The sequence below is a fragment of the Homo sapiens genome, chromosome 16 (assembly GCF_000001405.40).
Source record: "Homo sapiens chromosome 16, GRCh38.p14 Primary Assembly".
NCBI classification, from domain to species: domain Eukaryota; kingdom Metazoa; phylum Chordata; class Mammalia; order Primates; family Hominidae; genus Homo; species Homo sapiens.
The window spans coordinates 23,632,633-23,647,540 of NC_000016.10; the positions used below are offsets into that span (position 1 = coordinate 23,632,633).

The 14,908-nt window shown below is 43.5% G+C and overlaps 2 protein-coding genes across 25 annotated transcripts in view, besides 2 other annotated features; one reads left to right on the top strand and one right to left on the bottom strand.

The window, feature by feature from the left end:
* The window catches only part of PALB2 (partner and localizer of BRCA2), a 38,146-nt gene extending 29,468 nt beyond the window's left edge, over positions 1 to 8,678 (bottom strand). For 7 of the 19 annotated variants that reach the window (NM_001407297.1, NM_001407302.1, NM_001407298.1 and 4 more), the window contains exons 1-4: positions 8,478 to 8,678; positions 5,438 to 5,497; positions 5,218 to 5,320; positions 2,230 to 3,702 (exon numbers count right to left, since the gene is read on the bottom strand). In NM_001407297.1, coding sequence (NP_001394226.1) covers positions 2,230 to 3,702; positions 5,218 to 5,320; positions 5,438 to 5,497; positions 8,478 to 8,525 — 1,684 coding nt within the window. In that variant the 5' untranslated portion in view covers positions 8,526 to 8,678. Of the gene's footprint in view, positions 1 to 2,229; positions 3,703 to 5,217; positions 5,321 to 5,437; positions 5,498 to 5,826; positions 5,961 to 7,619 lie in introns of all 19 variants that reach the window. The other 12 variants (NM_001407307.1, NM_001407309.1, NM_001407311.1 and 9 more) reach the window with 5 other exon arrangements.
* Positions 7,745 to 7,979: a silencer, noted in NCBI's record as "fragment chr16:23651698-23651932 (GRCh37/hg19 assembly coordinates)". NCBI's record gives its function as "represses an EF-1alpha promoter that drives an FKBP-Casp9 reporter gene in an ReSE screen in phorbol 12-myristate 13-acetate-treated (for megakaryocytic differentiation) K562 erythroleukemia cells {active_cell/tissue: K562(+PMA)}" and the evidence as "EXISTENCE:reporter gene assay evidence [ECO:0000049][PMID:32094911]".
* Positions 8,834 to 14,908, top strand: part of DCTN5 (dynactin subunit 5) — a 36,007-nt gene continuing 29,932 nt past the window's right edge. For all 6 annotated transcript variants that reach the window (NR_037573.2, XR_001752007.3, XR_001752006.3 and 3 more), the window contains exons 1-2: positions 8,834 to 8,958; positions 10,323 to 10,391. Coding sequence is in view for 3 of the 6 variants with exons in the window: in NM_032486.4 (NP_115875.1) it covers positions 8,911 to 8,958; positions 10,323 to 10,391 (117 nt within the window). In the remaining 3 variants the exon portion in view is untranslated. The remainder of the gene's footprint in view (positions 8,959 to 10,322; positions 10,392 to 14,908) is intronic.
* Positions 9,107 to 9,896: an enhancer, noted in NCBI's record as "H3K27ac hESC enhancer chr16:23653060-23653849 (GRCh37/hg19 assembly coordinates)". NCBI's record gives its function as "activates a minimal SCP1, AML or CMV promoter by ChIP-STARR-seq in naive H9 embryonic stem cells {active_cell/tissue: H9 hESC(naive)}" and the evidence as "EXISTENCE:reporter gene assay evidence [ECO:0000049][PMID:30033119]".

The window sequence follows — 14,908 nt, forward strand, 5'->3', positions numbered from 1 at the left end:
GGGGTGATGAAAATGTTTTAGAATGAGATAAGGTGGTGGTTGCACAACACTGTAAATGTATTGACTTGTTCACTTAATTTAAAATGGTTAATTTTGTTACGTGAATGTCACCTTGAGAAAAAAAGTTTTTAAATGTAGCTGCAGTTTACTACAATTATAGCAGACTATTTCAAACTACTGGCTGGGCCTGGTGGCTCACGCCTGTAATCCCAGCACTTTGGGAGGCCGAGGTGGGTAGATCACCTGAGGTCAGGAGATAGAGACCAGCCTGGCCAACATGGCAAAAACCCATCTCTACTGAAAATATAAAAATTAGCTGGGTGTGGTGGTGGGCACCTGTAATCTCAGCTACTCAGGGGGCTGAGGTGGGAGAATCGCTTGAACCTGGGAGGCAGAGGTTGCAGTGAGCTGAGATAGCGCCACTGCACCCTATCCGGGGCGACAAGGGTGAAACTGTCTCAACAACAATAAAAAAAAACTACTGTGTAAAAAACAGTATTTCTAGATTACTGGATTGCCTACTTTTTGATGACTTTGTATCCTTGTTCGCTTAAAAGATGATGAAAAGTCACAATTATTATTTTTGGATTAATTAGTCACAGCTTATAGACCAAGTCCATGTCCAATGGTACAGAGCAGCCTGCTACCTATTTTTGCACATAAAGTTGTTTTTTTGTTTTAGGAACTTGGCTGTAAAGTGCATATAAAGGTGCGTTGGAACACAGTCACAGTTACAAGTTGACTGGCTGCTCTGGCACATAGCTGAGTAGTTGAGACAGACAGAACACAAAGACTAAAATCTGTGCTATCTGGCCCATTCTAGAAAGTATGCTGATCCCTAGTTTAGAGCCACAATGAATTACCCAGATTTTGTGCTTAGTTCATCAGATATGATTAAATTCTCAGTAAATGAATTGAAAGTTTAAATTACAATGTATCGTTGCTGCCCATCCTCCAAAATTCTGTGTCCCTTGGAGGCCTTAGAGACACTGCATTAGATATTTTATCCAAAAAAGTTGCTTAGGCCTTTTCATTACATGATGACTTCTAAAAGAGATAGTCAGTGGAGTCTTAGTCTTGTTTTTTTTTGAGAGAGGGTTTTGCTCTATCACCCAGACTGGAGTGCAGTGGTGCAATCACAGCTCACCGCAGCCTCAACCTCCTGAGCTCAAGTGATCCTCCCACCTCAGCCTCTCAAGTAGCTGAAACCACAGGCATATACCACCACACCTGGCTAATTTTTCTATATTTTTTTTTGTAGAGATGGGGTTTCATCATTTTACCCAAGCTGGTCTCAAACTCCTGGGCTCAAGCAATCCTCCCACCTTGGCCTCCCGAAGTGCTGGGATTACAGGGGTGAGCCACCAAGCCCAACATAGAGTCTTCCTCTAGTACACATTCCATTTTACTTCAAAAACACTTTCTATGTTAGCTGTGAAGCTTCTACCCAAAGAATTGTATTGAACCTGAATATGTAATATTACGTAAACAACCAATACATTTTCCTTTTCAGTGTTGAATTGTTTCAGCTCTATTAGTGAACTCTGGCACCATACCGCCAGGTTTGAATCCTGGCTCTGTGATTTTAATTAAATTAAGTAAAGTTATTTTAATCTCCCTGTACTTTAGTTTCCTCACCTGTAAAGTGAGAATGAAAATAGATTCTACCTCACATAGGACTGCTGTGATGATTCAATGAGTTAGTATCTGTACAACATTTAGAAAGTGCCAGGCAAGCTGGACACAGTGGCTCACGTCTGTAATCCCAGCACTTTGAGAGGCTGTGGTGGGAGGATTGTTTGAGGCCAGGAGTTCAAGATCAGCCTGGGCAACAGGGCAGGACCTCACCTCTACAAAAAATTTTAAAACATTAGCCAGGCATGGTGGTACATGCCAGTAGTCCCAGCTAGTTGGGAGGCTGAGGCAGGAGGAACATTTGAGCCCAGGAGATAGAGGCTGCACCACGGCACTCCAGCCTGGACAACAGTGAGCCCCTGTCTCTTTATTTTTATTTATTTATTTATTTATTTATTTATTTATTTATTTAAATTTTTTTGAGCCAGGGTCTCACTCTGTTCCTCAGCCTCCCAAAGTGCTGGGATTACAGACGTAAGCCACCACACTTGGCCCTGTCACTTTTTAGAAAAGAAAGAAAAGGAAGTGCCAGGCAAATAGTAATTGTTAACTTTCATCATCATCATCATCATCATCAAACACATCTTGATTTACCTTTCACTTGAATAAATAATTTTTCGTGCTGATATTTGTGTGAGGTGACTTCTTCCTTGGACCTGTTAACAATCGACAGGCTAGAAGTTGGCAAAAGTGGTTCACAATGATCTGATGCTGGGGTGCAGGCTGATTTTCTTTTTCCTGTGTATCTTCTACCAGGTGCTTGGGCAACTGCCTTCCTAGACAAGTCATTATCTTCAGTGGGCCCAGCGGGAGAGCTGACTTTAGTTAATGAGAGAAGTTTCTGAGAGGTTCTTGAACTTGGTTGTCCTGTGCATGTGCCAGACATCCTAATTTCACTTTGGTCAGTTTCCTCATTGGAAAGGTTTAAATTTTTACTTGCATCCTTATTTTTATTTTTAAACCCTTTTTTCTTGACATCCAAATGACTCTGAATGACAGCCTCCACGGCTACTTTCCTCTGGCAATTGGACATGCTTCGTGTTGTTCTAACATAATATTCTGCAGGAAACAGAAGGCCTTCAGGCACTGTGCAAGAATGTTTTTCTGCAGAAAGAGGAGAGGTTGCTTCCAGGCTAAGACTCTTAGGTTGACTTAGAATCTCACTTTCCTGAAGATTTTCATTCCTGCCATCAAGAGTGTCACTGGGAGATTTTAAAGATTTCTCTGTTTGATTTTGTTCTTTTAAGTTTTGGTTTTCATTTGCTGGTAAGTTATTGTAGGTGAGTTCATTTAGAGAACATGAAATATTTGCCTCTAAATTAGAACTTGTGGGCAGTTGGCCACTTTTACTTATAGCTTTATTTACAAGGAGGTTATCTGTAGAGACAGTCATTTTTTTGCCTTGTGCCTCCAAACTTACAGGTGAAGTAAATCTAATGTTTTTTAGGTCGTGAGTAGTAAGTTCACTGCTACCTTTAGGAGGAATGTGTTCAAGGTGCTGACTACTACCGCTATCTGATAGAGTCTGTAAAGGAACTGTAGTCGCCCTGGTGAAATTAGGTCTTCTTAGGAATGTATCAACACCTTTTTCTGGTTGGGCAGTTGGTGGAATTAATACACTGTCTTCATTAATTTCTGTAACTGGTTCTGGAGAATCTGGAAGTTCAGATTTAAGACTTAAAAGGTGAGTTCTTATTTCAGTTACTGGTGATCTAGCAGGATTTTTGCTACTGATTTCTTCCTGTTCCTTTAGTCTTTTCCCAGACAATCTGAGTGAATCAGTGCCAAAGACACAGTCTCTCTCCTGTGAAATAAATGTCCTCTTCTGCTGCTTCTTTCTTCTGCTTGGCAGCTTCTGCTTTTGCTCACCACTAGGGTCACTGACCCTGTGGGGAAAATGTTCTTGGGTGTCATCTGTTCTTTGTATAGGTAATCCTCCTGGGCCATCTCCAGGGTTAAAGGACTCAGGCCCAACATCAAGTGTGATAGATGTCTTTTCTCCAGTTTCTTCATCAAGATGGGTTTTGATGTGTAACTTGTCATAAACACATATTTTATTTTTAGGTTCTGAGGAGGAAAAAAATGTATATAACTTATATTTTTCTTATAAAATAAAACAAAAAATACTCATTTTTAACCTATTATATATAAATACTACTAAACATTTATTTAAGAAAGAATCAGTGACATTTCATTCAGGCAGATGAATTTACAGGTGAAATAAACCTATTTTTTAGGCTGTGAGTAGTAAGGTCACTGTTACCTTTAGGAGGAATGTGTTCAAGGTGTTGACTACTTCTACTATCTGATGGAGTATGTAAAGGAACTGTACATACTCCATACTGTACATATTTTTAAAAGTTCTGATTTTTTAAATTCTAATAATCTATGAAATTTTAAGTACATATAAACAAACAGCATTGTGCTAAAAATGTTTTTTAAACGAACAGAGTATTCTTTATCACACAATCTCTTCTCTTAACTTCTAAATCTCAACTAGTTTTCTATCTCATGTATTTCTTTCTTTATTTTCCCCCTTGGCTCAAGTAATTTTAATAACACTCCCATTTCAATAACCCCTCAGTTTTATGATTATAAATTACTTGAATGTAAACATCAGAATTGATCATTGTTTTTAGAATATTTTCACCTAGAATTTTTCTCTGTTCATATATACTTACATTTTTAAAAAAAACCTTTCACTGGGCACGGTGGCTCACACCTGTAATCCCAGCACTTTGGGAGGCTGAGGCAGGCAGATCTCAAGGTCAGGAGATCAAGACCATCCTGGCCAACATGGTGAAACCCTGTCTCTACTAAAAATACAAAAATTAGCTGGGCGTGGCGGTGTGCGCCTGTAGTCCCAGGTACTCGGGAGGCTGAGGCAGGAGAATTGCTTGAACCCAGGAGGTGGAGGCTGCAGTGAGCTGTGATTGAGCCACTGTACTCCAGCCTTGATGACAGAGTGAGACTCTGTCTCAAAATAAAAACAAAACAAAACAAAAAACCTTTCTAATATTTAAACAATAAATATAATTTCTGAAAATTGAGAGGGAAAAAGAGCAAGAGAGGGAAAAAGAATAAACAGTCTAACTGAAAATAGAGACTATAGATTTTACGGCATATGAATTTTATGTTAATTAGAATATATTGCAGCCGGGCACAGTGGCTCACACCTGTATCCCAGCACTTTGGGAGGCCCAGGCAGACAGATCATTTGAAGCCAGGGGTTCAAGACCGGCCTGGCCAACATGGCGAAACCCCATCTCTACTAAAAATATAACAATTAGTCAGGTGTGGTAGTGCACGTGCCTGTAGTCCCAGCTACTCAGGAGGCTGAGGCACGAGAATCACTTGAGCCTGGGAGTTGGAGGTTGTAGTGAGCCAAGATTGTGCCACTGCACTCCAGCCTGGGTAACAAAGAGTGAGACTCTGTCTCAAAAAAATAAAATTAAAATTAAAATTAAAATTAAAGCGTCTATTGCTAGTCATTATCTTCACACTGTGGGAAAAAGAACAATAGCCAAAATATACCTGGGAAATGAATAATAAAGCAGGCATAAGTGAATGGTCTAGATTTACCTGAGTGTTTTAGCTGCGGTGAGAGATCCTGCTGAGACAAACAATCTTGTTCTTCTACTGTTTTCTTAATAGAATGCTTAATCTTTTCAGCTCTTTGGGCACGCTAGAGGAGACAAAAACAGCCCCAGAAATACGTTTTCTTTAAAGTTTTATAGAGTCAAGAACTGTTTTTAAATTGTTTGTACTATAACACCTTAATTTGAGAATACGATTCACTTACCTGAAGGCGGGCTAGTGTCTTGCTGTATTCCCTTTTCAAGAATGCTAATTTCTCCTTTAACTGGAAGAAGAAAAACACCAACAATACTGGGCAAGTGGAAAGGTGGAGTCAGAGGGAAGGGATGCAGTGCTTGGCGGGGTCCCTTGGCAAGAGGCAGGGAGTAGCACTGGTCCATAACAATCTACTTTTGGTTCTCAAAAAGCACCAAGCTCTGACCATTTCAGGATCTTTGCATAACCTGTTCCTATCATCTGGAACATGTCCTTCCTTTGCCAATTCCTACTGATTCCTCAAACCTTAGCTTAGATTTTTATTTCCCTGGGATAGACTTCTAGGTCCTTCTCCAAATCTAGGTTAGACACTCTACCAGTCCTCTGTACTTTCCTTACCACAGTATTCTCACACTATGTTCTCTGTTTCTCCCCATCATCCAGATCCTTGAAGGTAGCAGGAACTGCCATCCTCAGTCACTCAACAAATGAATCTTCTATTTATCCGTTAATGGTCCAGGTATCTCTAGTACCTGGAATAATAATTGATACCCACTATGTGTCAATTAGTGCTCCAGATGCTATTCTAGATGCAATTTACATACAGTGAGGGAGACAGATAATAAATAAGAAAACAAACAGAAATGATTTTACAAGGTAAAAAAATACACAGATAAACAGAGTGATATGAGAGAGTTACTGGCCTACTGACAGGGACTACTTTAGTTACAGTGGTCAGGGAGGCATTTTTGACTATCATTTGAGCCTAAGACTGAATGAGGAAGGAGCTAGTTTTGGGAAGATCAGAGGGAACGGTACCCCAGGCAGAGGGAACCACAAATATAAAAGCTCTGCAGTGGAATAGGTTACCTACGTTTGAGGAACACGCAGAAGGCCAGTGAGGTTGGAGCTATCATTGCTCAATCTCCAGCCAGGCACACAGTAGGCATTTAACAAATATTTATTAAATAAATAAATGAATTGGGCTGAATCAAATTACTGTTCTCTGAAAGCCTAGATTCCCTCGTCTCTCTGGCTTCTTTGCTTCAAAGGATTCTCTCAGCAGCAAAGCCAGCCTCGGTTTTTCTGCTTTTTAGCAACTTTTTAGCTGTACTCATCTTTCAACCAACAAAACATCAAGATTTCCATCCTCCATACATGCCTTTTTTAAAAAAAAGAAAAGACCTACTCAGCTGGGCGCAGTGGCTCACGCCTGTAATCCCAACACTTGGGGAAGCTGAGGTGGGTGGATCATTTGAGGTCAAGAGTTCGAGACCCGCCTGGCCAACATGGTGAAATCCTGCTTCTACTAAAGATACAAAAATGAGCCGGGTGTGGTGGTGGGTGCCTGTAGGAGGCTGAAGCAGGAGAATTGCTTGAACCCGGAGGCGGAGGTTGCAGTGGGCCTAGATCACGCCACTGCACTCCAGCCTGGGCAACAGAGCGAGACTCTGCTTGAAAAAAAAAAAAAAAAAAAAGGCCGGGTGCAGTGGCTCACACCTGTAATCCCAGCACTTTGGAAGGCCAAGGCGGGCAGATTACCTGAGGTCAGGAGTTCAAAACCAGCCTGGCCAACATGGAGAAACCCTGTCTCTACTAAAAATACAAAAATTAGCCCGGCGTGGTGTTGGGCGTCTGTAATCCCAACTACTCGGGAGGCTGAGGCAGGAGAATCGCTTGAACCTGAGAGGCGGAGGTTGCAGTGAGCCAAGATCGAGCCACTGCACTCCAGCCTGGGAGATAGAGCGGAGAGTCTGTCTCAAAAACAAACAAAACAAAACCTATGTGCAAAACATGCTACTAGACAAGTTGCCAACCGTAAGGAATTTTCTTTTTTTTTGAGAGACAGTCTCACTCTGTCGTCCAGCCTGGCGTGCAGTGGCGCGATCTCGGCAGCTCCCTGCAACCTCAGCGTCCCCTGGTTCAAGCGATTCTCGTGCATCAGCCTCTGAGGCCTGAGCCTCTGGGACTACAGGCTGGCGTCACCACACCCGGCTAATTTTTGTATTTTTAGTAGAGACGGGGTTTCACTACGTTGCCTAGGCTGGTCTCAAACTCTGAGCTCAAGCGATCTGCCCATCTCGGCCTCCCAAAGTGCGGGGATTACAGGCGTGAGCCAGGGAGACTGGCCTCCCACCAATCTTATCAATGTCTGGGGATTATCTTGTTTACTTATAAATGATCTTTCTCACCTCCACCAGAAGGTAAGCCAGGATAAGAATAACATCAGCACAAGCTGGAAACATCCTAAAAGTCTATCAGTAAAGTACAGTCTAAAGAAGCAAGGGCACTTCCAAGGCCAGGTGCAGTGGCGGGTTCGTGTAATCCCAGCTACTCGGGAGGCTGAGGCAGGAGAGTCGCTTGATCCCAGGAAGCGGAGGTTGCAGTGAGCCGAGATCGCGCCACTGCACCCCAGCATGGGTGGCAGAGTGAGACTCTGTCTCAAAAAAGAAGAAAAACAGAAAAGGAAGAAAAAAGAAACAAAACGAGGGCACTTCCAAACTACAACATACTGTCTAGAACTTAAAAAAGAAAGCAAGGTAGATAAACATGTCCTGACAGGAAAGCTAAACGGAACCTGCAGAACCATTCAGATCATACCATTTATGAACATTCCCTTCTCCAAAAAATATACATAGGATTCCTTTTTGGTGGTTAGGGATACGCCCCTCCTCCACCACCCACATTAACACACGAAAGGACCTGGAAGTACCAGACTTAAAAGATTTACTTGAGGCCGTCCGGGGGGAGAAGTAAAGATTGAGGGTGTGGGAGGGGGGAGGAGCAAGGGTGTCGATACAGCTTTATCTACAAACTGTTACACATTGTATTAATGCGCTGCTACTGTAATGAAATTTGTTCTTTAAACGCCACCACGTGAGCACCACGCTATTTCCACATTTTCATTTTCTGTGCCCCCTCAGCCCTAAGAGGAGGGGGTGGTCAGATGATACTGCTGCCCTCGGACTGCCGAGGACACAAAGCCAGGCCTAAAACCCTGGGAAAGCGGGGTCAGAGTCCTGCGTCCGCCCTTCCCGCACCCCCGGCACCTTTTCCTTCTCCTCACAGCTGAGGGGCTTCCCGGGAGGCTCGTCCATCGGGCAGGCGACAGAACGAAAAGAGCAGCCGTCGCCGACCCCAGGCCTGCCGACACCGGGACCCAGTTGGCCCTGGGCCGGGGAGGCGCCCCAGGAAGGAATGGGGAGCCCGGGATCGCACCCTCAGTGCGCGATCAGCTGACCCACGCGGGCCAAGCGCGCCCTAAACTCCGGCCAATTAAATCCACCATTCGGCCTGCGCACGCGCAGCCGTAGACGGCCGAGCAGTGGAGCGAGGCCGCCTAAAGGAGAGCCGCGCTGTCGATGAGTCCCAGTGGGCCACCTGGAGCGGAAGTGGAGGAGCGGCCGGAAGTAGCCGGAATCTCTGAAAGACTGACCGACTGACTCTGACAGGATCCGGGGCTGAGGGAAGGAGGCGGCGGCCATGGAGTTGGGCGAGCTGCTCTACAACAAGTCTGAGTACATCGAGACGGTGCGCGGGTCCAGATATGTATCCTCCTCTTTCCAACCCTGCGTCCCTTTGAGGCCTGGTCGGCGTTCCCAACCTGCCCCTACCCCACCAACCCCTGTCCCTTTGGCCATTAGTCCCGGATTATCTAGCGATGCCCCGTGTACCGTCTGGCTTTGCTGTTTACTCCGCGCTTGGCCAGTTGAGGCCTTTTGTATTTATTCCTGATTTTCTCATAGGGGTAAAGTGCCTTCGGGAGGATAGGACAAGTCCCATCCTGTTCATACGAATTACAGCTCGGACTTCGGGCCCTTTTACACTGCCTTTTGTATCTGTTAACTTGCGCTAAAAACGATTCGGTTCTTTTTTTTTGAGGAAGGGGGTTGGGGGGCGGAGACTCTGTCGCCCAGTCCTGAGGGCCGCGGCGCGATCTCTGCTCACTGCAACCTCCGCCTCCCGGGTTCAAGCGATTCTCCTGCCTCAGCGTCTCGAGTAGCTGGGATTACAGGCGCCCGCCACCACGCCCGGCTAATTTTTGTATTTTTTGGTAGAGACGGGGTTTCACCGTGTTGGCCAGGCAGGTCCCTAACTCTTGACCTCAGGTGATCGACCCGCCTCGGCCTCCCAAAGTGCTGGCATTACAGGCGTGAGCCACCGCACCCTGCCGATTTGGTTCTTTATGATCAGTACATGATATGTTTGTAAAATCTTGGAAACAGGGCAAGTGGTCAATTAACGTTACTATCGTTATTTTGGTTTTCTTTGCTTTCTCACAACTCTGATACTCATAGTCATTATCCTCGTTTTAAGGCCGTAAAGCCCACGCGTGGAAGTGGGATTTGAATCCGCGTCTGTCTGATGCCACCAAGCTATAGACATTCAAATTATGAGTTTATTCCTTGAGTCCCTAGTTTCCTTTGTGTTTTTATTTTTTGAGACAGGTTCTCACTCTGTTGCCCAGGCTGGAGTGCAGTGGCACAATCACAGCTCATTGCAGCCTCGGCCTTCCAGGCTCAAGCGATCCTCTAGCCTCAGCCTTCTGAGGAGCTGGGACTACAGACACGCGCCACCATGCCCGGCTAATTAAAAAATTTTTTTTTTGTTGAGAAGGGGTCTCACTATGTTGCCTAGGCTGGTCTTGAGCTCCTGTCCTCAAGGGATCCGTCTGCCTCAGCCTCTCAAAGTGCTGAGATTACAGGCATGAGCCACCATACTCAGCCATAGTTTCCTAATCCATCATTGCTTTTTTGATATCCTGGACTCACTCCATTGTGGACAGCACCCCACTTTATGTTTTTTTCTCTCAAATGGGAGCTTTCTTGATGGAAACCTGTAGTCCAGAAACCTATTAAGTTTGCTTTCCCCGGTTTTCCGTTGTTTTCTTTTAGGCATCTGGGAACAAAGTCAGTCGCCAGTCAGTGTTGTGTGGAAGCCAGAACATCGTTCTCAATGGCAAGGTAAGGGACAAAGCCAGCTCCAGGCTGCAAACCTTAGCTTGCGTTCTGCTAATTGTCACCACAGCAGGGCAGATAAAATGTTGCCATATCTCCTATTTATTGTTTACATTTTTAATTCTCTTGTTTTTAAATTTTTTATTTTGTAAATTGGATCTCCTTTTTGTTTTTTTTTTGTTTCGGTTTTTTTTGAGACAGTCTCACTCTGTCGCCCAGGCTGGAGTGCAGTGGCCCCATCTCAGGTCGCTGCAACCTCCGTCTCCCAGGTTCAACCAGTTCTCCTGCCTCAGCCTCCCGAGTAGCTGGGATTACAGGCAGCTGCCACCAAGCCCGGCTAATATTTTGTATTTTTAGTAGAGACAGGGTTTCATCATGTTGGCCAGGCTGGTCTTGAACTCCTGCCCTCAAGTGATCCACCCACCTCGGCCTCCCAAAGTGCTGGGATTATAGGTGTGAGCCACTGCACCCAGCCTAAGTTGGATCTCTTGAATGCAAAAAGGTTCAATAAGAGGCAACAGAAAACCTTTTTTCTTTTATGCCAGGAACAAAATACAGTGGTACCTAGAACCAACATTATTTTATGATATAGTGTGCATTAAACTACTGGGCACAAAGTGTAACAGGTAATGAAATATTTGAAGGTAGAAACTAAAGTAATACTTATAAAATTATCTCTTTAGTAAAAATTAATAATTCACTATTAACTGAAACTCTTAAAACGAATGTGACAATTGGAAAAGATATTAAAGTATGAGACAAATATGCAAAGTGGAATCTGAAAGCCTGAGAATCTTGTAATCCAAATAAATTACAATAGCAAAGAGACGAGTATAAACTTGGAAGAGAAAATATCACAGGGTATATTTGAGCTTGACAAACAGTGAAGTTCACAGTTGTTTTCCTGCCATCTGGAACACTCAATTTTGAAATTAATTTTTCTTTAAATATTACATCTCTAACTTCCAGAAGGAAAATAGTCTCCTTATAACCAAGAGATCACAAATATTTTCAGTAGAAGATAATTAGTCTCCATTAAGCCTGTCATACCAAGGAATTAAGTGGAAAAGAAATATAATTCAGTAATTGCTGCTCAGACATACTGTTTCTTTTTTTTCCTTTTTTGTTGAGACAGAGTATTGCTCTGTCACCCAGGTCGGAGTACAGTGGCGCGATCTTGGCTCACTGCAACTTCCACCTCCTGGCATCAGGTGATTCTCCTGCCTCAGCCTCCAGAGTAGCTGGGATTACAGGCTCCCGCCATCATGCCCACCTAATTTTTTTTTTTTTTTTTTTTTTTTGAGATGGAGTCTCGCCCTGTTGCCCAGGTTGGAGTGCAGTGGTGCGATTTTGGCTCACTGTAAGCTCCGCCTCCCAGGCTCACGCCATTCTCCTGCCTCAGCCTCCTGAGTAGCTAGGACTACAGGCACCCACCACCATGCCCAGCTAATTTTTTGTATTTTTATCAGAGATGGGGTTTCACCGTGTTAGCCAGGATGGTCTCAATCTCCTGACCTCGTGATCCACCTGCCTTGTCCTCCGAAAGTGCTGGGATTACAGGCGTGAGCCACCGCGCCTGGCCTAATTTTTGTATTTTTAGTAGAGACAGGGTTTCACCATATTGGCCAGGCTGGTCTTGAACTCCTCACCTCAGATGATCCATCCACTTCAGCCTCCCAAAGTGCTGGGATTACAGGCATGAGCCACCACGCCCAGCCCAAGATTTTTTTTCTTATGGTGAACTATGTATAACAATTTGCCATTTTAACAATTTTTTAAAAATTTTTATTATTTGAGACAGTTGCCCAGGCTGGAGTGAAGCGGCGCCATCTCAGTCGCCACAACCTCCGCCTCTTGGCTTCAAGGATTCTCATGCCTCAGCCTCCTGTGTAGCTGGGACTACAGGTGCACGCCACTACACTGGGCTAATTTTTGTATTTTTAGTAGAGGCAGGGTTTTGCCACGTTGGCCAGGCTGGTCTCAAACTCTTGGCCTCAAGTGATCCACCTGCCTTGGCCTCTCAAAGTACTGGGATTACAAGTGTGAGCCACTGCACCCAGCCTAACTATATATATATATATATATATATATATATATATATATATATATATATATATATATTTTTTTTTTTTTTAATACGCAGTTTTGCTCTTGTTGCCCAGGCTGGAGTGCAATGGCACGATCTCGGCTCACCACAACCTCCGCCTCCCAGGTTCAAGTGATTCTCCTGCCTCAGACTCCCCAGTTACAGGCATGTGCCACCATGCCCAGCTAATTTTATATTTTTAATAGAGGCGGGGTTTCTCCATGTTGATCAGGCTGGTCTCGAACTCCCGACCTCAGGTGATCTGCCCTCCTTGGCCTTCCAAAGTGCTGGAATTACAGGCATGAGCCACTGCGCCCAGCCTTACCAATTTTTAAGTGTACAATTAGTTGCATTAATTACATTCACAATGTTGTGCAACCATCTCCACTATCCATTTCCAAAATTTTTTCATCACCCCAAATAAAAACTCTACACATTAAGGAATACACGCCCATTCCCTACTTCCTTCCATTGCTGATAGCCTGAATCTACTTTCTGTCTCTATGAATTTGCCTATTCTGGATATTTCATATAAGTGGAATCATACAATATTTGTCCTTTTTGTCTGGCTTATTTCACTTAGTGTAAGGTTTTCAAGGTTCATCCTTGTTAAAGCACATCAGAACTTCATTCCTTTCCATAGCAGAGTAATACTCCATTGTATGTATATGCCACATTTCGTATAGGCACTTGGATTGTTTCTACCCTTTGGCTATTGGGAATAATGCTGCAGTGAACACTGATGTGCAAGTATCTGTTTGTGTCCCTGTCTTCAGTTTTTTTGAGTATATACCTAGGAGTGTATATACTCAATACTTGATTTGGCAATGTTTGGTATATACAAAAGAGCGTGATTGCTGGGACAAATGGTGAGTCTATGTTTAACTTTTTGGGAAACTGACAAATTTTTTTCCAAAATGGCTGCACCATTTTACGTTTCCACCAGCATTGTGCAGGGTTCCAATTTCTCCACATCTTTACCAACACTAGTTATTTTCTGGTTTTTTTTGGATTATGGCCATCCAAGGGAGTATAAAATGGTATCTCATAGTGGTTTTGATTTGTATTTCCTTAATGACTAATGATATTGAACATCTTTGAATGTTGCTTGTTGGTCATCTGTACATCTTCTTTAGAGAAATGTCTGTTCAGTCCTTTGCCTATTTTTATATTGTGTTGTCTTTTTCTTATTGAGTTCTAGGAGTTCTTTATGCATTCTGGATATTAAACACTTATCAGATATATGATTTGCAAATGCTTTCTTCCTTTCTGTAGATTTTGTGCATCCCTTTGATGCACAAAAGTTTTTAATTTTGAAGTCTGGTTTATCTGTTTTTTCTTCTGTTGCTTGTGTTTTTGGTGTCATATTAAGAATCCAAACTTATGGCCATGAAGATTTACTGCCGTGTTTTCTTCTAAGAGCGTTAATGGTCTTAGTGCTGTGTTTAGGTCATTGATCCATTTTGAGTTAATTTTTTTTTTTGTTTTTTGAGACGGAGTTTCCCTCTTGTCATCCAGGCTGGAGTGCAGTGGTGCAATCTCGGCTCACTGCAACCTCCGCCTCCTGGGTTCAAGTGATTCTCCTCTCTCAGCCTCCCAAGTAGCTGGGATTACAGGCATGCGCCACCATGCCTGACTAATTTTGTATTTTTAGTAGAGACAGGGTTTCTCCATATTGGTCAGGCTGGTCTCAAACTCCCGACCTCAGGTGATCTGCCAGCCTCGGCGTCCCAAAGTGCCGGGATTACAGGCGTGAACCACTGTACCCAGCTTGAGTAATTTTTTTATATGGTTTGAGGTAGGGGTCTAACTTAGTTCTTTTGAATGTAGAAATACAGTTATCCTGGCACTGTTTGTTGAAAATACTATTCTTTCCCTGTTGAATGGTCTTGGCACTCTTCTAGAAAATCAATTGGTCATAGATGAATAGATTTATTTGTGAACTCTCAATTCTATTTGGTTGGTCTGTATGACTATCTTTATGGAACACTGCACTGTTTTGATTACCATAGCTTTGTAATAAGTTTTCTGGTTTTTTTTTTTTTTTGAGAAAGAGTCTCACTCTGTCACCCAGGCTGGAGTGCAGTGGCACGATCTCAGCTTACTGCAACTTCCTTCTCTCAGGTTCAAGTAATTCTCTTGCCTCAGCATCCTGAATAGCTGGGATTACAGGCATGCGCCACCATGCTAGAGACAGGGTTTTGCCATTTTGGTCAGGCTGGTCTCGAACTCCTGACCTCAGGTGATCCGCCCGCCTTGGCCTACCAAAGTAGTGGGATTACAGGTGTGAACCACTGTGCTCGGCCTACTATAATAAGTTTTTAATCATGAATTATGAGTCTTCCATGTTTGTTCTTTTATAAGATTGTTTTGCCTATTGAGGGCTGTTTGCTTTTTTTTTTTTAATTTTTTTTTGGGGGAGGGGGATGGAGTATTG